This window comes from Homo sapiens, chromosome 3 (genome assembly GCF_000001405.40).
Source record: "Homo sapiens chromosome 3, GRCh38.p14 Primary Assembly".
Classification (NCBI taxonomy): domain Eukaryota; kingdom Metazoa; phylum Chordata; class Mammalia; order Primates; family Hominidae; genus Homo; species Homo sapiens.
In genome coordinates this window covers 121431307-121454808 of record NC_000003.12, presented here as the reverse complement: position 1 = coordinate 121454808, position 23502 = coordinate 121431307, and the positions used below count along the sequence as shown (strand labels likewise).

At 38.4% G+C, this 23502-nt stretch overlaps 1 protein-coding gene across 1 annotated transcript in view, besides 2 other annotated features; it reads left to right on the top strand.

Moving 5' to 3' along the window:
- POLQ (DNA polymerase theta) overlaps positions 1-23378 on the top strand; it is a 114558-nt gene extending 91180 nt beyond the window's left edge. The window contains exons 26-30 of the mRNA NM_199420.4: positions 5383-5494; positions 14693-14817; positions 18534-18687; positions 21776-21891; positions 22392-23378. Coding sequence (NP_955452.3) covers positions 5383-5494; positions 14693-14817; positions 18534-18687; positions 21776-21891; positions 22392-22505 — 621 coding nt within the window. The 3' untranslated portion in view covers positions 22506-23378. The remainder of the gene's footprint in view (positions 1-5382; positions 5495-14692; positions 14818-18533; positions 18688-21775; positions 21892-22391) is intronic.
- Positions 2616-3117: an enhancer, noted in NCBI's record as "H3K27ac hESC enhancer chr3:121170539-121171040 (GRCh37/hg19 assembly coordinates)". NCBI's record gives its function as "activates a minimal SCP1, AML or CMV promoter by ChIP-STARR-seq in primed H9 embryonic stem cells {active_cell/tissue: H9 hESC(primed)}" and the evidence as "EXISTENCE:reporter gene assay evidence [ECO:0000049][PMID:30033119]".
- Positions 22501-22550: an enhancer, noted in NCBI's record as "active region_20340". NCBI's record gives its function as "activates an Ori minimal core promoter by ATAC-STARR-seq in GM12878 lymphoblastoid cells {active_cell/tissue: GM12878}" and the evidence as "EXISTENCE:reporter gene assay evidence [ECO:0000049][PMID:35858748]".
- Positions 23379-23502: the final 124 nt, after the last annotated feature.

Genomic DNA, 23502 nt, shown 5'->3' with positions numbered 1-23502 from the left:
GTTGATAGTGGGGTGTTAAAGTCTCCCATTATTATTGTGTGGGAGTCTAAGTCTCTTGAAGGTCACTCAGGACTTGCTTTATGAATCTGGGTGCTCCTGTATTGGGTACATATATGTTTAGGATAGTTAGCTCTTCTTGTTGAATTGATCCCTTTACCATTATGTAATGGCCTTCTTTGTCTCTTTTGATCTTTGTTGGTTTAAAGTCTGTTTTATCAGAGACTAGGATTGCAACCCCTGCTTTTTTTTGTTTTCCATTTGCTTGGTAGATCTTCCTCCATCCTTTTATTTTGAGCCTATGTGTGTCTCTGCACGTGAGATGGGTCTCCTGAATACAGCACACTGATGGATCTTGACTCTTTATCCAATTTGCCAGTCTGTGTCTTTTAATTGGAGCATTTAGTCCATTTACATTTAAAGTTAATATTGTTATGTGTGAATTTGATCCTGTCATTATGATGTTAACTGGTTATTTTGCTCATTAGTTGATGTAGTTTCTTCCTAGCCTCAATGGTCTTTACAATTTGGCATGATTTTGCAGTGGCTGATACCGGTTGTTCCTTTCCATGTTTAGTGCTTCCTTCAGGAGCTCTTTTAGGGCTGGCCAGGTGGTGACAAAATCTCTCAGCATTTGCTTGTCTGTTAAGGATTGTATTTCTCCTTCACTTAATGAAGCTTAGTTTGGCTGGATATGAAATTCTGGGTTGAAAATTCATTTCTTTAAGAATGTTGAATATTGGCCCCCACTCTCTTCTGGCTTGTAGAGTTTCTGCCGAGAGATCCGCTGTTAGTCTGATGGGCTTCCCTTTGTGGGTAACCCGACCTTTGTCTCTGGCTGCCGTTAACATTTTTTCCTTCATTTCAACTTTGGTGAATCTGACAATTATGTGTCTTGGAGTTGCTCTTCTCGAGGAGTATCTTTGTGGCGTTCTCTGGATTTCCTGAATGTGAATGTTGGCCTGCCTTGCTAGATTGGGGAAGTTCTCCTGGATTATATCCTGCAGAGTGTTTTCCAACTTGGTTCCATTCTCCCTGTCACTTTCAGATACACCAGTGAGACATAGATTTGGTCTTTTCACATAATCTCATATTTCTTGGAGGCTTTGGTCGTTTCTTTTTACTCTTTTTTCTCTAAACTTCCCTTCTCGCTTCATTTCATCTTCCATCACTGATACCCTTTCTTCCAGTTGATCGCATCGGCTCCTGAGGCTTCTGCATTCTTCACGTAGTTCTCAAGCCTTGGCTTTCAGCTCCATCAGCTCCTTTAAGCTCTTCTCTGTATTGGTTATTCTAGTTATACATTTGTCTAAATTTTATTCTAAGTTTTTAACTTGTTTGCCTTTTGCTTGAATTTCCTCCTGTAGCTCGGAGTAGTTTGATCGTCTGAAGCCTTCTTCTCTCAACTCGTCAAAGTCATTCTCCATCCAGCTTTGTTCCGTTGCTGGTGAGGAACTGCGTTCCTTTGGAGGAGGAGAGGCGCTCTGCTTTTTAGAGTTTCCAGTTTTTCTGCTCTGTTTTTTCCCCATCTTTGTGGTTTTATCTACTTTTGGTCTTTGATGATGGTGATGTACAGATGGGTTTTTGGTGTGGATGTCCTTTCTGTTTGTTAGTTTTCCTTCTAACAGACAGGACCCTCAGCTGCAGGTCTGTTGGAGTTTGCTAGATGTCCACTCCAGACCTTGGTTGCCTGGATATCAACAGCGGTGACTGCAGAACAGCGGATTTTCGTAAACTGCGAATGCTGCTGTCTGATCGTTCCTCTGGAAGTTTTGTCTCAGAGGAGTACCCAGCCGTGTGAGGTGTCAGTCTGCCCCTACTGGGGGGTGCCTCCCAGTTAGGCTGCTCGGGGGTCAAGGGTCAGGGACCCACTTGAGGAGGCAGTCTGCCTGTTCTCAGATCTCCAGCTGCGTGCTAGGAGAACCACTGCTCTCTTCAAAGCTGTCAGACAGGGACATTTAAGTCTGCAGAGGTTACTGCTGTCTTTTTGTTTTTCTGTGCCCTGCCCCCAGAGGTGGAGCCTACAGAGACAGGCAGGCCTCCTTGAGCTGTGGTGGGCTCCACTCAGTTTGAGCTTCCTGGCTGCTTTGTTTACCTAAGCAAGCCTGGGCAATGGCGGGCATTGGGCACCCGACTTCCTATCCAACACACTTATCCGCCGGAGACAACTGCTTCTATTTAATAGACTCCTGCATGATTTAATAGTGTTTATGCTATACCAGTTTTTGTTTGTGTCACCATGCACTGAACCACCTAATCCCTGAGCCTTGCTGAGATCTCAGACAGCACTAAGCAACATGAGTTAAAAAAAAAAAAAACAGGAGTAACAACAAAAAAAAGGTGAAAAAGAAAAAAAGGAAAGGAAAAAGGCATTAAAAAACGTGGCGGTGGGGGGCAGTTCCAAGATGGCCGAATTGGAACAGCTCCAGTCTACAGCTCCCAGCGTAAGCTATGCAGAAGACAGGTGATTTCTGCATTTCCAACTGAGGTACCAGGTTCATCTCACTGGGGCTTGTTGGACAGTGGGTGCAGCCCACCGAGCGTGAGCCGAAGCAGGGCGAGGCATCACCTCACCTGGGAAGCACAAGGGGTCAGGGAATTCCCTTTCCTAGCCAAGGGAAGCTGTGACAGATGGCACCTGGAAAATCGGGTCACTCCCACCCTAATACTGCGCTTTTCCAAGGGTCTTAGCAAAGGGCACATCAACAGATTATATCCTGTGCATGACTCGGAGGCTACCATGTCCATGGAGCCTCGCTCATTGCTAGCACAGCAGTCTGAGATCGAACTGCAAGGCAGCAGCAAGGCTGGGGGAGGGGCGCCCGCCAGTGCTGAGGCTTGAGTAGGTAAACAAAGAGGCCAGGAAGCTCGAACTGGGTGGAGCCCACCACAGCTCAAGGACGCCTGCCTGCCTCTGTAGACTCCACCTCTGGGGGCAGGGCATAGCCAAACAAAAGGCAGCAGAAACCTCTGCAGACTTAAATGTCCCATCGGACAGCTTTGAAGAGAGTAGTGGTTCTCCCCGCACGGAGTTTGAGATCTGAGAACGGACAGATTGCCCCCTCAAGTGGGTCCCTGACCCCCAAGTAGCCTAACTAGGAGGCACCCCCCAGTAGGAGCAGGCTGACACCTCACACGGCCAGTTACCCCTCTGAGACAAAGCTTCCAGAGGAGCGATCAGGCAGCAACATTTGCTGGTCAGCAATATTCACTGTTCTGCAGCCTCCGCTGCTCATACCGAGGCAAACAGAGTCTGGAGCGGACCTCCAGCAAACTCCAACAGACCTGCACCTGAGGGTCCTGACTGTTAGAAGGAAAACTAACAAACAGAAAGGACATCCACACCAAAACCCCATCTGTACGTCACCATCATCAAAGACCAAAGGTAGATAAAACCACTAAGATGGGGAAAAAACAGAGCAGAAAAGCTGAAAAATCTAAAAATCAGAGTGCCTCTCCCACTCCAAAGGAACTCAGCTCCTCGCCAGCAATGGAACAAAGCTGGACGGAGAATAACTTTGACAAGTTGAGAGAAGGCGGCCTCAGACAATCAAACTTCTCCGAGCTAAAGGAGGAAGTTTGGACCCATTGCAAAGAAGCTAAAAACCTTGAAAAAAGATTAGACGAATGGCTAACTAGAATAACCAGTGTAGAGAAGTCCTTAAATGACCTGATGGAGCTGAAAACCGTGGCAAAAGAACTACGTGACAAATGCACAAGCTTCAGTAGCCAATTCGATCAACTGGAAGAAAGGGTATCAGTGATTGATGATCAAATAAATGAAATGAAGCAAGAAGAGAAGTTTAGAGAAAAAGAATAAAAAGAAACGAACAAAGCCTCCAAGAAATAGGGGACTATGTGAAAAGACCAAATCTACACCTGATTGGTGTACCTGAAAGTGACCGGGAGAATGGAACCAAGTTGGAAAACACTCTGCAGGATATTATCCAGGAGAACTTCCCCAATCTAGCAAGGCAGCCCAACATTCAAATTCAGGAAATCCAGAGAACACCACAAAGATACTCCTCGAGAAGAGCAACTCCAAGACACATAATTGTCAGATTCACCAAAGTTGAAATGAAGGAAAAAATGTTAAGGGCAGCCAGAGAGAAAGGTCGGGTTACCCACAAAGGGAAGCCCATCAGACTAACACCAGTTCTCTCTGCAGAAAGCCTACAAGCCAGAAAAAAGTTGGGGCCAATATTCAGCACTATTAAAGAAAAGAATAATGAGAACACTTGGACACAGGACAGGGAACATCACACACTGGGGCCCGTTGTGGGGTTGGGGGAGGGGGGAGGGATAGCATTAGGAGATACACCTAATATAAATGACGAGTTAATGAGTGCAGCACACCAACATGGCACATGTATACATATGTAACAAACCTGCACATTGTGCACATATACCCTAGAACTTAAAGTATAATAAAAAAAATAAATAAATAATAAAAAAGCGAAAAAATAAAATAGAAAACTTGGGGGTGGGGGTAGACTTTAGTTAGCTTATCATGTTGAAAGTTTTTTTGGAATTCTGATAATCATGCAAGTTATCTTTTTAGATTTTATTTAATGATATTTATACAGAGCTTGCTTTATGTCAGTTTCCTAAACAGTTATAAGTAATAACTCATTTAAACCTAACAATCCCATGATGCAGATATTACTGTCTTCATTTTGTAGATGAAGAAATTAAGATACAAATTGGTTAAGTGACTTGTGCAAGATGATACATTTTGTGAATGATAGATCTAGGCTTTGAACCCCGGCCGTCCTTGTGATTAAACCAGACTTTCTTTAATTGCCTATTTAGATCATTTCCCTTCACTACTCCCGAAATTTTCTTAGGAGTTTTTGTTTGTATTTAAGTGAATTAAATTCTGCAGTTGTGGACATTTAGGTGGCTATGAGGTGAGGAGGATTTTTTTTTCCAGTTAAGTCTTCGTCATAAAGTCACAAAGCCTACTCTTTCTACACTTCAAGTCTTTTTCAAGGACAAGAAGAGGGATGTTGGTAATGCTTCTCTTCCCTGACTCCTAGGCACTTGAAGTGGAAGTTAATGAAGTTCTGTGAGGAGTAAAAAGTTGCTATAAAGACTGCTGGATAAAGGACAAATAGTCAAAAATAAATTTTTCCTTAGATCACACATACCTATTCATTCATACTCCCTCCTGCCCTTCTGTCTCTCTCTCAAAAAGTAATGCTGAAAGGCAGAAAAGATGTTTGCTGGATATCAGTCTCTGTGGATGTAACCCACCAAAAGCAATCTAATCATTGTTTCACTCACTGTGAAATAAAAAGTTTGCCGAAATTCGCATCCTAATGAACCCTTTTATTTGCATTTTATGTACTTATAACCTTTATTTGTTGGATGACTCCCTTTCAGATTTGCTATGGGATCATTTATGGAATGGGAGCTAAATCTTTGGGAGAGCAGATGGGCATTAAAGAAAATGATGCTGCATGCTATATTGACTCCTTCAAATCCAGATACACAGGTAATTTATCTTCTAGATAGTATTCTTTTCAACCATCTTACCATATTATATTTTTAAAAATTTGTGTAATGGAATTTTCTTTTGAAATATCAATTAGTCAGAAGTTTTCATCAGGCATTGTTAAGGGTAAATAAGATTAACCTTATAATCACTTACTAAGATGTAATAATCTTATTTCATATTTTTCATTAAAGTTGGAACAGAATAGTAAAATGTAGTTGATGTGAATCTACTGTGTCACTGTGAACAACCCATAAAATCAGGAGTTGACTTGTGCTTTGGTTTAGATAGCTGTAGTTTGAAACAGTAAACTATTGAGTATATATACTAGGAACTCTGATAATTGCTAATTAAATATACGAGGAATTCTGAGAACAATTGCTGTTATAGAGCAGTTTGAGTATTGTCTTAAATGATCTTTTTTGCCTGTTTGTTGTGGTATAATTTACGTATAATAATTAGATTCACCCTGAAAAAGGTATATAGTTCTGTGAATTTTGACAAATGCATATGGTCATAAAATTTACACCACAACCAAGATATAGAACCATTACTCTATCATCCCAAAAAGTTCTTTTATGCTCTTTTTAAATCAACCCTGTCCCTTATCCCTTATCCCCCTTGTATTGGTACTGAAGCAAGCAATACAATACTAGGCATGGTGGCTCACGTCTGTAATCCCAGCACTTTGGGAGGCTGAGGTGGACAGATCACGAGGTCAAGAGATCGAGACCATCCTGGCCAACATGGTGAAACCCCATCTCTACTAAAAATACAAAAATTACCTGGGCGTGGTGGCATGCACCTGCAAGTCCCAGCTACTCGGAGGCTGAGGCAGGAGAATCACTTGAACCTGGGAGGCGGAGGTGCAGTGAGCCGAGATCACGCCATTGCACTCCAGCCTGGGGGTCAAGAATGAAACTCCATCCCAAAAAATAAAATAAAATAAAAAATGAAAAGAATCAAGCAGAAATTCTGAAGTAGGAAAATGCAATTGATATACTGAAGAGTATCAGAGTCTCTTAATATAGCAGAATTATTCAAGCAGAAGAATTACTGAGTTTGAAGACAGGCTATTTGGAAATTCACAGAGGAGATAAAAAAGTATTAAAAAGGATGAAGCACACCTGCAACATCAGAAAATAGCTTCAAAAGGGCAAATCTTCTAAGAGTTATTGGCCTTAAAGAGGAGTAGAGAAGGAGATAGGAGTAGACAGTGTATTCAAAGGGATAATAAAGAACTTTCCAAACCTAGGGAAAGATATCAATATTCAAGTAAAAGAAAGTTATAGAACAGATTTAACCCAAAGAAGACTGCCTTAAGACATGTAACAATCAAACTCCCAAAGGTCAAGGATAAAGAAAGGATCCTAAAAACAGCAAGATAAAATAATCAAATAATATACAATGGAGCTTCAATATGTCTGGCAGCAGACTTTTTAGTGGCATGAAGTGTCAAAGGAAAAACAGCTTTTACCCTGGAATAATATATCTGGCAAAAATACTAATATCCTTCAAACATGAAGGAGAAATAAAGACTTTCTCAGACAAATGAAAGCTGAGGGATTTCATCAACACCAGAGTTGTCCTACAAGAAATGCCAAAAAGAGTTCTACAATTAGAAAGAAAAGGATGTTAATGAGCAATAACAAATAACCTAAAGGTACAGAACTCACTGGTAATATTAAGTACGCAGAGAGACACAGACTATTATAACATTGCAATTGTGATATATAAACTATTATCTTAAATAGAAAGACAAAAATATTAATCAAAAATAACTGTAACAGCCTTTCAAGACACTGGCAGTACAATACGATATAAATATAAACAACAAAAAAGTTAAAAAGTGGGCCAGGCGCGGTGGGTCACACCTGTAATCCCAGCAATTTGGGAGGCAGAGACAGGCAGATCACCTGAGGTCAGGAGTTCAAGACCAACATGGTGAAACTCCATCTCTACAAAAAAATACAAAAATTAGCCGGGCATGATGATAGGTGACTGTAATCCTAGCTACTTGGGAGGCTGAGGTGAAAGAATCGCTTGAACCCAGGAGGCGGAGGTTGCAGTGAGCCAAGACTGTGCCATTGCACTCCAGCCTGGGAGACAGGGCGAGACTCTTTCTCAAAAAAAAAAAAAAAAAGGGTTATAAGACATTATTTGCAAGTCTCATGGTAACCTCAAATAAAAAAATATACAACAGATACACAAAAACTAAAAAGCAAGAAATTAAATCATACCACCAGAAAAAATCACCTTTATTAAAAGGAAGACAGGAATGAAGGAAAGAAAGAGAAAAAAAACCATGGAACAACCAGTAAACAACAAAATGATGTTGTCCTTAACTGTCAATAATAACATTGCATGTAAATGGACTAAACTTTCCAATAAAAAGACATAGAGTGGCTGGATAGATTTTTTAAAAAAAGAAAAACAAGACCCAATGATCTGTTCCCTACAGGAAACACATTTCACCTCTAAAGATATAGACTGAAAATAAAGGGATGGAAAAGAGATTCCATGCCAATGGAAACCAAAAAAGATCAAGAGTAGCTATACTATTTATCAGACAAAATAGATTCCAAGACAAAAACTATGAAAAGAGACAGAAGGTCATTATATAATGTCTTTTACATTATATAATACTCCTTTTGAGTCAATTAAGCAAGAGAATATAAGAATTGTAATATGCACCCAGTATTGGAGCACCTGGACATATAAAGCAAATATCATTAGAGCTAAAGAGAGAGAGAGAGAGATCCCAATAATAATAACTGGAGATTTCAACACCCCTCTTTGAGCAGCAGACAGATATTCCAGACAGAAAATCAACAAAGAAATTATGCTAAATCTGCACTGTAGACCAAATGGACCTAATAGATATTTACAGAACATTTCATTTAATGGCCACACAATACACATTCTTCTCCTCAGCACATGGATTATTCTCTAGGATAGACTATATGTTAGATAACAAAACAAGTTTTAAAATATTCAGAAAGTTAATATCAAGTATCTACTGTGACCATAATGGAATAAAACTAGAAATCACTAACAAGGAATTTTGGAAAGTATACAAACATGGAAATTAAACAATATGCTCTTGAGTGACCAGTGAGTCAATTAAAAAATTAAGAAAGAAAATTTAAAATTTCTTGAAACAAATGACAATGGAAATACAACACACCAACACCTATGGGATACAGCAAAAGCAGTGCTAAGAAGGAAGTTTATAGCTATAAGTGCCTACATTAAAAAAAAAGAAGAAGAAAAACTTCAAATAACCTGCAATCCATCTTAAAAAACTAGAAAAGTAAGAGCAAGGCAAATCCAAAATTAGTAGAGGAAAAGAAATAATACAGATCAGAGCAGAAATAAAGAATGAAATTGAAACAAAGTATACAAAAGAACAACAAAACAAAAAGTTGGTTATTGGTTGTTTTTTTTTTTTTGAGATGGAGTGTTGCTCTGTCACCCAGGCTGGTGGGCAGTGGCGTGATCTTGGCTCACTGCAACATCTGCCTCCTGGGTTCAAGCAATTTTCCTGTCTCAGCCTCCCAAGTAGCTGGGATTACAGGTATGTGCCACCGTGCCTGGCTAGTTTTTGTATTTTTAGTAGAGACAGAGTTTTGCCATGTTGGCCAGGTTGGTCATGAACTCCTGGCCTCAAGTGATCTGCCCATCTTGGCCTCCCAAAGTGCTGGGATTACAGGCTTGAGCCACTGCACCTGGCCTGAAAATAAGTTGGTTTTTTGAAAAGATAAAATTGACATACCTTTAGCCAGACTAAGAAAAAAGGAGAAGATCCAAATAAATAAAATCAGAAATGAAAAAGGAGACAGCACAATGAATACTCCAGAAATTCAAAGGATCATTAGTGGCTACTATGAGCAGCTATATGCCAGTAATTTGGAAAATCTAGAAGAAATGGGTAAATTTCTAGACACATACAACCTGCCAAGATTGAACCATGAAGAAATCTAAAACCTGAACAGTCTAAGAACAAAAAAACCTGAACAGTCTAAGAACAAATAATGAGATCGAAGCCATAATAAAAAGTCTTCCACAAAGAAAAGCCTGGGACTCAATGGCTTCCCTGCTGAATTCTACCAAAAATTTAAATAACTAATACCAATCCTACTGAAACTGTTCTGGAAAATAGAAGAGGAGAGAACACTTCCAGACTCATTCTGTGAGGCCAGTATTACCCTAATACCAAAACCAGACAAAGACATATCGAAACAAACAAACAAAACCTACCTACCGGCCAATATTTCTGATGAAAATTGATGCAAACATCCTCAACAAAATAGTAACAAATGGAATTCAACAATATATTAGAAAGATCATTCATCATGACCAAGTGGGATTTGTCCCTGGGATGCAAGGATGGTTCAACATATGCAAATCTATCAATGTGATACATCATATCAACAGAATGAAGGATAAAAACAATATCATTTCAATTGATGCTGAAAAGGCATTTGATAAAATTCAACATTCCATCATGAAAACCCTCAAAAAACTGGGTTTACAAGAAACATACCTCTACATAATAAAAGCTGTGGGTATGATAGACCCACAGCTAGTGTCACACTGAATGGGGAAAAAGTGAAAGCCTTTTTCTCTAATACCTGGAACACGACAAGGATGCCCACTTTTGCTTTCATCACTGTTATTCAACATAGTACTGGAAGTCCTAGCTCAAGCAATCAGATAAGAGAAAGAAATAAAGGACATCCACACTGGAAAGGAAGAGGTCAAATTCTCCTTGTTTGTAGAAGATATGATCTTATATATGGAAAAACCTAATGACTCCATCAAAAAACTATTAGAACTGATAAACAAATTCCTTAGTATAGTTGCAGGATACAAGATCAACATACAAACATCAGTAGCATTTCTATATGCCAGGAGCAAACAATCTGAAAAAGAAATCCGGAAAGTAATCTCATTTATAATAGCCACAAATAAAATTAAACACTTAGGAATTAGCCAAAGAAGTGAAAGATCTATATAAGGAAAACTTATAAAACACTGATACTAGAAATTGAAGAGGACACAAAAATATGAAAAAATATTCCATGTTCATAGATTGGAAGAATCAACATTGTTAAAATGTTCATACTCCCCAAGTCAATCAACAGATTTAATGCATTCCCTATCAAAATACCAATGACATTCTTTACTCTTCACAGAAATAGAAAAAAAAAAAGTACTACAATTTACATGGAACCACAAGAGACCTAGAATAGCCAAAGCTATCCTGTGCAAAAAGAACAAAACTGGAGAAATCACATTACCTGACTTCGAATTATGCTACAGACATATAGTAACCAAAATGACATAGTACTGGTATAAAACAGGCACAAAGATCAGTAGAACAGAATAGAGAACCCAGAAAGAAACCCACACATCTACAGTGAACTCATTTTCAATAAAGGTACCAAGAACATGCACTGGGGAAAAGACAGTCTCTTCAATAAATGGTGTTGGGACAACTGAATATGCAGAAGAATGAAACTGGACCCCTATCTCTCTATATATACAAAATAAAATCAAAATGGATTAAAAACTTTAAGACCTCAAATTGTGCAACTGCTACAAGAAAACATGGGGGAAACTCTCCAGTATATCAGTCTGGGCAAAGATTTCTTAAGCAATACTCACAAGCGCAGGCAACCACAGCAAAAATAGACAAATGAGATCACATCAGGTTTAAAAAAAACTGCACAGCAAAGGAAACAACCAACAAAGTGAAGAGACAGCCCACAGAATGGGAGAAAATATTTGCAGATACCCATTTGACAAGAGATTAATAAGCAGAATATATGAGGAGCTCAAATAACTCTGCAGAAAAAAAATCTGATTTTAAAATGGACAAAAGCTCTGAACAGACATTTCTCAAATAAAGACATACAAATGGCAAAGAGGTTTATGAAAAGGTGCTCAACATCATTGATCATCAGAGAAATACAAATTAGAACTAGAATGTGATATCATCTCACACCAGTTAAAATGGCTTTTATCCAAAAGACAGGTGATAACAAATGCAGGCGAAGATGTAGAGAAAAAGGAACCATCATTCACCTTTGGTGGGAATGTAAATTAGTACAACTACTGTGGAGAACAGTTTGGAGGTTTCTCAAACTAAAAATAGGCTGGGCATGGTGGCTCACGCCTGTAATCCCAACACTCTGGGAGGCTGAGGCGGGTGGATCACAAGGTCAGGAGTTTGAGACCAGCCTGGCCAATATGGTGAAACCCCATCTCTACTAAATATACAAAAATTAGCCGGGCATGGTAGTGGGCACCTGTATCCCAACCACTTGGGAGGCTAAGGCAGGAGAATTGCTTGAACCGGGAGGCAGAGGTTGCAATGAGCTGAGGTCACGCCACTGCACTCCAGCCTGGGCAACAGAGTGAGACTCCATCTCAAAAACAAAACAAAACAAAACAAAAAACTAAAAATAGAGCTATCATATGATCCAGCAATCACACTGCTAGGTACATACCCAAAAGAAAGGAAATCTGTGTACTGAAAAGATATCTGCATGCACTCCCATGTTTATTGCAGCACTATTCACAATAGCCAGGATTTGGAAGCATCCTCAGTGTCCATCAGCAGATGAATGGATAAAGAAAATGTACAGGTACACAATGGAGTACTATCCAGCCATAGAAAAGAATGAGATCTTGTCATTTGCAACAACAGGGATGGAACTGGAGGTCATTATGTTAAGTGAAATAAGCCAGGCACAGAAAGACAAACTTCACATGTTCTCAGTTATTTGTCACTCAGCTAAAAATTAAAGCAATTGAACTCGTGGAGATAGAGAGTAGAGTAATGGTTACCAGAAGCTGGGAAGGGTATTGGGGGTAGGGGGTATTGTTAATAGGTACAAAGAAATAGTTAGAATGACTAAGAACTAGTATTTGCTAGCACAACAGGGTGACTATAGTTAATAATAATTAATTGTACATTTAAAGATGACTAAAAGAGTATAATTGGAATGTTTGCAACACAAATGATAAATGCTTGAGGTGATGGGTACCCCATTTTCCCTCATGTGATTATTATGCATTGCATGCCTGTATCATAATATCTCATGTACCCCATAAATATGTACACCTACTATATACCCACAAAAATTAAAAATTTATGAAAAATGTAAAAGCAAGGTACAAACTGGGAAGAAATATTTGCAGTAGTTCCATCGAACAAAGGATGTATATCCAGAATATATGAAGAACTTTTACCATTCAATGCTCAGAAGCTAGACGATCCGATAAATTAAAAGTCAGAAAATTTGAAGAGACACTTTACCAAAGATATGAATGACCATATTAAACATTGTCATTATTTGTCATCAAGCAAAAGCAAACTGAGATGCCAAAAACAAAGAGATGCCATTACAAAAACACTAGAATGGCCAATATTAAAAACACAGTCTTTTACGTTGTTCATTTATTTGTAAAATGGTAAAACTACTTTGGAGAACAGTATGGCTTTTTTGTGTAAAGTTAAACATCCATTTAACTATATAACCGTGCAATTCTACTATCGTATTTGTGCAAGAAAAATGAAAGCATGTCCAAAGGAAGGCTCGTATGTGAATATTATAGCAGCTTTATTCACAACAGCCAGATTCTGAGAACAGGCCACATGTCTATCAACAGGAAAATGTATAAACAAATTTTGTTATACCTCCACAACAGAGTAGTATAGATCAAGGAATAGTAATTAAATATTGATATTCAGTACAATATTGATGATTCTTAAAAATGTTTTCCTTAGCAAAAGAAGGCAGACACAAATGAGCATATACAGTGTCATTCAATTTGTATGATATTCATGAACATGAAAAACTTAAGAGTATCATAAAGCAGATGAGTGAGTGTCTGAGGGTGATCATGGGGCCTGACTGTAAAGGGAGATGAACATGTTTTGTATCTTGTAGTAGTAGCTGCAGGGGTGTGTATATTTGTTAAAATGCCTCAAGCTGTTTAAAGCGAGTGTATTTTGTTGCATGTAAATTATACCTCAGCACTGATTTTTTTTTTAAAGTAGCTCTTTCAATTTGAGTATTTGGAGGTCTCCTATAGGAGTTTGGTAAGAGATTTTGTAGAAGTACAGCCTCTTAAATCTCACCCTTTTCTTTCCTCTTTACCCAAAAATATCACAGTAATTCTTAAACAGAAAAAGATGAGAGTCCAGTGGCTTTTGGAAATTCCCATGCTATTGATTACATATCACCAACAGCAAAGGATTCATCCTGGAGATGCTTAAGACATAATGACTGACCCAGATTGCAAAGGATGAATGTTGGTCTAGGAAATACAAATATGTTGGAATACTACACTACACATAGTTTTTTTTTTATTTTAAGAAGTGGGTCATGTTTATTCCTAGTGAAATATTTATCGTAACTCATGCATTAATTTCAGCAAGGTCCTACTTTGGATCATAGTGTAGATGGTAACAAGGAGCTATTGAAATGTTTTAAACCTAGGAATGATAAGATGAAAGAGTAAAAGGGGATTCACACAATCAACAGACACTTGTGAAAAGTGATGTGGAATAGTCTTAAGATCCTGGAATAAAGACACCTAGATATCTGCCCCGTTCTGGAATTTTTAGTTTTACGTTTTGTTTTTGTTGTTGTTACTCAAAAAACAAAGGCCATGTAGTAGCTCACACCTGTAATCCTAGCACTTTGGGAGGCGGAGGTGGGCAGATCGCTTGAGCTCAGATGTTTGAGACCAGCCTGGGCCACATTACGAAACCTCATCTCTACAAAAAATATAAAAATTATCCTGGCATCGTGACGCGGTGCCTGTAGTCCCACCTAGGCAGGAGGCTGAGGTGGGAGGATCTCCTGAGCCTGGGGAGATCCAGGCTGCAGTGAACCATGATAGCACCACTGCACTCCCACCTGGGTGACAGAGTGAGCGAGATCCTGTCTCAAAAACAAAAAAACCCAAAGAGTTAGAGTATTTCATTTCTAAAGTCTCTTTTATTTCTAACTTTTTGAGTCTAGAAAAAGTGAATGAAAGTTCGCATGCCTGATTTGACGATATGATATTAATGTTAAGAATCATCGTGGGGTTTTGGTGTATTTTGCCATATTTAAGCCAGTGAATGAAGTGAAGGATAGACTTTGGTTCTAATTAATTATTTCTGTATTTTCTTTGTAGGGATTAATCAATTCATGACAGAGACAGTGAAGAATTGTAAAAGAGACGGATTTGTTCAGACCATTTTGGGAAGGCGTAGATATTTGCCAGGAATCAAAGACAACAACCCTTATCGTAAAGCTCACGTATGTTGAAATTTTTTAGGAATTTTAACTTAACATTTCAATGACATGTACTTTTTCAGCAGAGTAAATACTACAAATATCCGTTTTAGGGATTACTGGCATATTAATTGGATTTTCTGTATAGACAACGTCAACCATTGGTTTCATTAAGGACTTCTGAAGTGATGGCACATGCCAGTATTTGCTGAACAGAGTCTGGGGGATTAATGTAAACATGTGTTTACTTAATAATACTTTAAACATGTTCTGTTGCAGTAAACCAATTATTTATTAGCTTAGGTACTAAGTTGTAAATAAACTTAATTTTTACATTTGCTAATTATTCTTTGTTTCCTATACCATATACTAATTTATCATATCATACCAAATTGCTAACATTCCTCAGAGATTAGCCAGTCACTAAATTTTGATTAATTTTTGGTTCATTCTACTTGTTTGCTTATTTTAAAAGCACTATCTGGCCAGGCACAGTGGCTCATGCCTGTAGTCCCAGCACTTTGGAAGGCTGAGGCAGGAGGATTGCTTGCGCCCAGGAGTTTGAGACCAGCTTGGGCAACATAGTGAGATCACCTATATCTATAAAAATAAATAAATTAGCTGAGTGAGGTAGTGCAATGCCTGTAGTCTTAGCTACTTGGGAGGCTGAGGTGGGAGGACTGCTTGAGCCCAGGAATTGGAGGCTGCAGTGAGCCATGATTGAACCACTGTATTCCAGCCTAGGTGGCAGAATGAGACCCTATGTTTAATTAAAAAAAAAAAAAAAGGCACTATCTCATCAGAGATTATTAAGATATCCCAAATAGTGAATAAGGCTATTTTTAACGGCACTTAAAAGATTTATTGATATTTGCTCAAATTATGTTTAAGTGTCTTTCTGAATTCATTGGGATTCATGAAAGTATTCTGTGTACCTAAGTATTTAAACTTCTAGTATAGTTCATATCTTCCTATTTTAACTAGATGTTTTTTGCCCTTCACCCATAACTTTGTGTTTTAGTGCTCATTAGACATTGTATATAATGAAAATACCCCGCTAAACTTCTGTCTGGAGCTCAAAGCCTTCAGAGCATTAATGCTTTTAGGGACTGTGGAAGAATAGTTGGCTTTTTGTTACTGCTTTACTCTCTAGCCTCCCATATATCCACATGCAAATATCAGATATTTATCAGGCTTTTACCATATCTCTAAGTGAACTAGTAACTTTAGTTGATGGACTAGGAAACTTAAGTTTTAAGTCTTGGAAGAAATAATGCAAACAAAAAAATATATATGAAAACATCATTGATATACTTAATTATTTAGGTTTCAGGGAGAAGGAAAGACTTAAACAGATTCTTGAAGGCTAAAGTTTAGGCTGTTGGGAATGAGAAAAAGACAATCACAAAAGGATAACTGAGTGAGGACTGGCTAGAAGCCAAACTGGTAGGAATGGAGAGTTTGAGTTGTCACATAGGGGTATATAATTTTCTCCTGGATAGATGGAGCCAGCTAGAACCTAGGAGACTAAAAGGCTTCTTCTAAATGACAGAAGGCTTTTAGTGGCAGGCTGAGAAACTTGGACTCGATCTAATAATACGAATTGATTATGTTTTCTGGAATTTACATGATAAAAAATGGAATATGTAGTTATTAATATAAATGAATCATATAAGTTTGTGAAAATTAATATTATTGTACCTGAAGATGCAAGAGAGTAATAAGACTTTTTCATGCCAAATACTTCAGTGTTAAAGTTCTGATTCATTATGTTGCTGCTGAGGAAAAATATTCCAGCCCTCTGAATTAGGAATAGAGTAAACACAGCCAGGTTGTTTTTTGGTTTTTGTTTTGGTTTTTGCTTTTGTTCAAACTTTTGTTGTACTGAAAAATACATTCTCACACATAAAGAATGTAGATTTCACTAAATTATCACAGAGCTACACCTGTGTAACTACCACTCAGGGCAAGAAATAGAATACTGTCAGTGCCCCAGAAGCGCCCCTCATGCATCCTCCTAATCACCACCCATCGCCTTCCCAGAAATAGCCACTGTTATAACTTCTAACACTATAGTTTTGTTTTGCATTTTTTTGAGCTCCATATACATCATATATGTATATTTTGTATCTAGCTTCTATCAAAATTACATGGGTAAGTCATTCTTGTTTCTTGTAGGAATAGCTGTATACTCTTATATAAATATACCATAATTTATCTATTTTTCTCTTGATGAGAACTTGGGTTTTCAGTTTGAAGCTAAGCTATTATGTTTTTGAACATGCTTGTACAAGGTTCTTGGTGCACATTTACATGCATTTATGTTTGGTAAAGACACAGTGGTGGGATTGCTGCATATTTTCAACTTCAGTAGATAAAGCCAAATTGTTTTCTGTGGAGATTATAGCAGTTTGTCCTCCCTTCAGAAGAGTATGTGAGTCCTCACTGCTCTGCATTCTTGTCGACACTTGCTATTAAGCTAATATAATTTTAGCTATTCTGGTGGGTATAAAGTAGTATCCTGTAATTTTAATTTGTGTTTCCTTGGCTACTAGTGAGGTAATCTTACAAATGAGCAACCTTACAAATGTGTATTAGCCATTTAGTTATTTTTTCATGGGTAAATACCTATTCTGGTTTTCTTTTTAATTTTTCTGTTGAGTTTTCTGCATTTTTTCTTATCAATTTGTAGGAACCTGTTACTGGTTACATGTGTAGAAAATATTCTCTCCTACATTGTGTCTGGCCTTTTCTCCCACTCATTAGTAATTTTAGGTGTGGAGAGAGGTTTTTGTTTTATTTTGTTTTTCTTAAAGACAGGGTCTCACTATGTTGCCCAGGCTGGTTTCAAACTCCTGGTCTTAACTGATCATCTTGCCTTAGCCTCCTGAGTAGCTGAGATTACAGGCATTTAATATACTAGAAGTTGGGTATAGCTCAGATGACAGAGGACTAGAGAATACCTCTCATGTTACATTGACCCCCTTCCCTGGAGTAGACCTTTTTCATTTTCTTAGATATTTTGGGGCACCGGGAATGATATTCATATATAGATTACACCTGGATATTAACCCAGACTCCCTTCTCTACTCTTCCAAGATGATTAATTTTAGTAGGCATGGTTCCCTGCCAAGAAGCACTTGGCAGCAGTCATTTCAAGGAAGTTGTAACTGAATACCCAGGGATCTAGGATGTGCGTTTTCACTAGCGGCTAAGGATTTGCCTCAGCAGCCCATGAAAAGCTCTGATTCACATCAGAGGGCTCCATACCTGCAGGGCTCACACTCTATATTAAAGACCAAGAGGCCATTGGTATAGAGGGTGTGCTTAGGACATTCCAACCCCCCTCCCAAAGAATGATATTCTACTTATTTAGGATTAAGATTATTTTGAGGAGCAGATCTCTTAGAATGATGTCTAGAACAGCTATAACACTGATGAGCTAAATACATCTAAGTGCAAAGTAGTTTTTGGATGCTAACTGAGTAGTCAAGATATCTAAGCTGAAGCAATCTGACCTTATTTTTGTCTGCCCTAATGTGGAAACCCCAGAATCTAGAGCCCTGGATCATGATAGGTGTTATTCTTAGGATGCAGCCTAATAGTTGGTGTTCTGGGTTGCATCTCAGTCCAGCTTTCCAGTCTGGCTGCAAATGTGAGCACTGAACTGTGGACACTAAAGGAAAGTATGAAACCATGTTGGCATATCTGGTGGAGCACCTGTTGATTGTTTTTTCTAGGCTGAGCGTCAAGCTATCAACACAATAGTCCAAGGATCAGCAGCTGATATTGTCAAAATAGCCACAGTTAACATTCAGAAGCAATTAGAGACCTTCCACTCAACCTTCAAATCCCATGGTCATCGAGAGGGTATGCTCCAAAGTGACCAAACAGGTTTGTTCATAGATGAGGCCTGTGCTGTAACATGATGAGAATAATTGTATCAGAAATGTAAATGGGAAGTATTTTTTATTTTATTTCTCAACAGTTCTCAAATGTTTTGGTCTCATGATGTCTTTATACTATTAGAAATTATTAAGGATTTCAAAGAGCTCTTGTTTTTGTGGGTTATGTCTATATATTTACCATATTATAAATTAAAACAGGGAATTTTAAAACATTAACATTTAAAGTAATTACAAACTCACCATATTTTGACATGTCACATATTTTTATGAAAATAACTACATCTCTTAAGAACTAAAGAAAATTCTTGATAGGTGGCTTTATTTTACATATGTGTAAATCTCTTTAATGTTTGGCTTAAGAGAACACAGCTGGCTGTTTGTATCTGCTTCTGTATTCAATCTGTTGTAATATCACATGTCCTGTAACCCTCTTTGGGAAACTCTGTACAGTCTGGGATGATGCATGTCTCAATTTGTGGGAGACGGATGAGTTTCCCAGGATGTGGAATTTCACTTCTATACCAGGACAGTTGGCCACTTTGCTGCACTCTTACAAGAAAATAAAACTGAAAAAGGCAAATAGCCTCATAGTGTTATTATGAAAGTAATTTTGACTGCAGATTTTGGGATCCTCTGTGGTCTTCAGACCATACTTTAAGGATATGTTGATATTCCTATTTATGACCTTCAGTGTTCTCTGATCTTAGAATATACTCTTGATCTCTTTATCACATATGTTCCTTTGCTGATATTGTTTTCTTGTTCTTACTTTCAGAATATTTTCCCTGAGTTTTCCCTTTATTGCTTGGATAAATTATTTCTTGTACTAACAAGTACAGTGAAATTTTCTTTTTTTCTTCTGTCACATTCCATATTTCTGCTTTAAATACCATTTCACTGTCACTGAGATTGTCAAACCATGACAGCAGACTTTTTTTGTTTTTGAGACAGAGTTTCACTCTGTCACCCAGGCTGGAGTGCAGTGGCACGATCTCAGCTCACTGCAACCTCTGCCTCCTGGGTTCAAGGGATTTTCCTGCCTCAGCTTCCTGAGTAGCTGGGATTACAGGAGTGTGCCACCATGCCTGGCTAATTTAAAAAAATTTTTTTTTTAGTAGAGAGGGGGTTTCACCATGTTGTCCAGGCTCTTCTGGAACTCCTGACCTCAAGTGATCTGTCTGCCAAGCTTGGCTTCCCAAAGTGTTGGGATTACCAGCGTGAGCCATCACACCCAGCCAGGAGGCATGTTTTAAATTTTCCTGGGAAGAAATTAAGGTTTGGTGCATACAGAGGAAGAAAAAGCTGCTAGAGATGGGGCAGAAAGGTCATGATTAGTTATTGAGGATGAGATTTGCTATTTCTAGAAGAGACATACATACAGGTTATAGAGAATAATACAGCCAGTTATAACGTGTTCACTTACGTACAAAAATACGTAGATAACAAAAGTTTATTTTCTCATTAAGTGAGGATTATTAATATTGTCATCAGTCCCCCTTGAAATACCTGAGGCCCCTCATTCATTTTCAGTGTGGGACTATGTGTGTATATACACACACATACACATTTATATTTAATTGAGAGAGAATATATAATTAAACTCATTTGGGGAGTAATACTGTGCTGTGTGCTTTGGGGATTTAGAAGTAAAAGTTATCAATCTATCTTTAAATTTAAGTTCTATTTAAGAAAGGAGAGGAAGATATGATACCTGACTGAAGTATTTGTATTAATTCCACACAGCAGAGTGATAAATGTCAAAATGAGGATACAGACAGTAATGACTTTAAGAGTCAGTGGAAGGCGATATGGCTCTGTCGCTGAGGATGGCTTCATGATGTCATGCCAGCTTAAAGTAGCACTAGGTCAGTAGGATGAAAGGAAGGTGAGCATGAGGAAGCAGACCATATGGGGAACAAGAGCATCATGGCATTCTAGGTCAGAAGCCAGGTAGCCAAGGGAAATCAAGAGGGCAAAGGCATGGTCATCAGAAAGCAGAAAAGCTAGAGCATCCAGACAGTCAATGGTGTGAGCCAAGTGTGGCTTCATGGGGCAGATCCGATTTCAGCTGAACAGGTGAACAGAGGTACAGCCTTTGCAGTCCTAGTGTGGAAGCAGCTTGCTGCAGCCTCAGGTGATTTTGTTTGCTTACTGTGTGAGAGCCACCTCTGAGCAAACTGGCACTGCAGATAGTGACAGTTGAAGAACTCTCTCCCTGAGGGAAGCACCAGATACTGAGGGAGATGTTACTCATGCTGGACCTGAAAGATAAGTAGGGAATTTGGACAACAGAAAGGAAGATGACTACTGTGAGGTTTAAGCAAACAAGTAAAGGCAGTTCCAGTAAAGGTGTTCATGTTGAGCTTTATCTTTTTGGTCAGAAGGGCATAATCTGTACCACTAGATCCAGCTAATGAGGAAATAGTAACTAAGTCTAGTATATATTTTGGAGTTATGGCTACTGGAAGGTATGGATTATCTCCACAGAAAAACGTACAGACATAGACTCTTACATATAACTGCAAGGGGTTTATGTACTCTCTGAAGTCCACTTTGGGAGCCTAGGTTTTACAATTACTTGTTTGGAGTGTGTACGGTTCAATTGGGGAAGCACCAGTTCTATCACGATGACACTTCTGGCCATAAAAAGACATGAGGGAGTGTCCCCCTTAAGAAACAGTGCCTAACAATATTAGTTTGCTTTCCTGGGGCAGGAATCAGGCCCCATACCTCCCTGGTGCTATTACTCAGATGGTGGTTGGGGGACTCCATGGATAGAGAAAATGTTAGTTATTCATGAGAAATAAGTTGGACTAGAGCTTGGAGCAGAGTTCCTCACACCCCATTTACTGACTTCTTTGGGAGACTCCTTCTTTCTAGGAGGAAGTTTGTGAGTTTATACCGGATACTTAGGGTAGGTAGCGACCAGCAAGTAGTTATTTTCCTGATAGTTCTTATTCTTGTGTGTTTTAATCTTCTCATTAAAATTCCTCAGAGTTACTCAGAATCTCTAAAAACATTCTCCTATGACTTAGCGACATGCTGATCAGTTTTGCTCCTTTTTCATGAAGTAGGATTGTCACGAAAGAGAAAACTGCAAGGGATGTTCTGCCCAATCAGAGGAGGCTTCTTCATCCTTCAACTCCATGATGAACTCCTATATGAAGTGGCAGAAGAAGATGTTGTTCAGGTATTTTTGCAATGCTTGTGTCCATTCCATAGGAAGACAAGACACTGTATTGTCAGGCCGACAGCTTTGTTTCCTGTGCATGAGGATTTTGGAACTCTACCCTAGCCCTGGGATGGCTGTATAAATATTGAGTCCTTACAGGTAGAAAAGGAGCTAAGAGTGTTCCGTTTTGTACTAGTTCTTAATAAGTGAAGAATTGCCAATGCAAGATGTTTTTGTCTTGGAGGAATTAAACAAAAATTTGGAGTCTTTCCCTTAGGGTTTCTAAGCTCCAAGCATTCTAGCAAAAACTTTCAGAAATTCCTGCTCATCAGTGAAGAAGAGTATGAGATGTCTTTTTATTTATTCATTTATTTATTTTATTTTTTATTTTTTCTGATTTAGCATTTTAAGCACCATTGGGTGAAGAGCTCCAGTCTGGTTTATAACTTTCTCAGGGGATGGTTTGGGAAACATTCTTTGACTGGGCAGTTTGTTAACTACATTTTTTTTTTCCTTAGGTAGCTCAGATTGTCAAGAATGAAATGGAAAGTGCTGTAAAACTGTCTGTGAAATTGAAAGTGAAAGTGAAAATAGGCGCCAGCTGGGGAGAGCTAAAGGACTTTGATGTGTAACTGTGCTGTTGATGAAGTCCTCCCAGGGAAGCCTGTGCAGATGCAGTCACCTGGAAAGAACAGAGATTACCCTTTCACCTACCTCAGCAAAACAAACTTTCAAGTCTTGATAGACTTAGCCTAGTAATTTTATAGTGAGAGTTTCAAACTATATATCAGTGTCTATAGCATCAAAAACTTCTGGGGGCGTGGGGGAAGTAGAATACCAAGTATAATAGTTACATTCACTTTCAAAGAGCATCTATGAATTTGCCTTTTGTAACTTACTGTGGCTTTAAACATATTCAGAACAGATGCTTGAAATATGCACTTAGCACTTTGGTTCCACATCTGTCTGGGTAAACCATGAAGAAAATGAAGCTGCTGCCTCAATCGACCCAGACAGCAGCCATAGGCAGATAAAGATTTGGTTTCACCCTGGTGGTGGTAGGCATCGTGTGTGACTTTTTTTCCTCTAATATCAATTTTACAGTACGGAAATAGTATTTTAAAATAGTATTGGCTAATAAATTATGAATTCTATAAAGTAGTAAGACTTGGTATGGTTGGAGTGTAGGAATGAATATTCATGAAATGTTTCTTATTGCTTTTCCTTCCCTAATTCATACAATGAATGTATTTGGAATACTTACATATTATAAAATAAACTATACCTCTTCAAGAGGTATCCTGTTCTGTAAGATCAGATGTTTTTATTGCAGGTCAATATAATACTGCCAGAGACAGAAAATACCCCCTTATCAGTCCCTTAGTGCCTCTTTCTGTTTGTGGCATGGTGAGAAAACCCATGCTGAAAAGATTGTACTTTGTGATCCCAATCAGAGGGATGGAGCTAATCTTTTTGCTGTTGAAATAAAATGAATTTATGAGAAACTTTATATCAACAATTGTTTTGTTAAAAATTATAGTTGGTCTAAGAGTGTCCCTTATTTAGTTACTCCATAGCTTGTTCATAGGAAACACTGATTATATTCTTAATCAGTTACCAGAAGAGCTC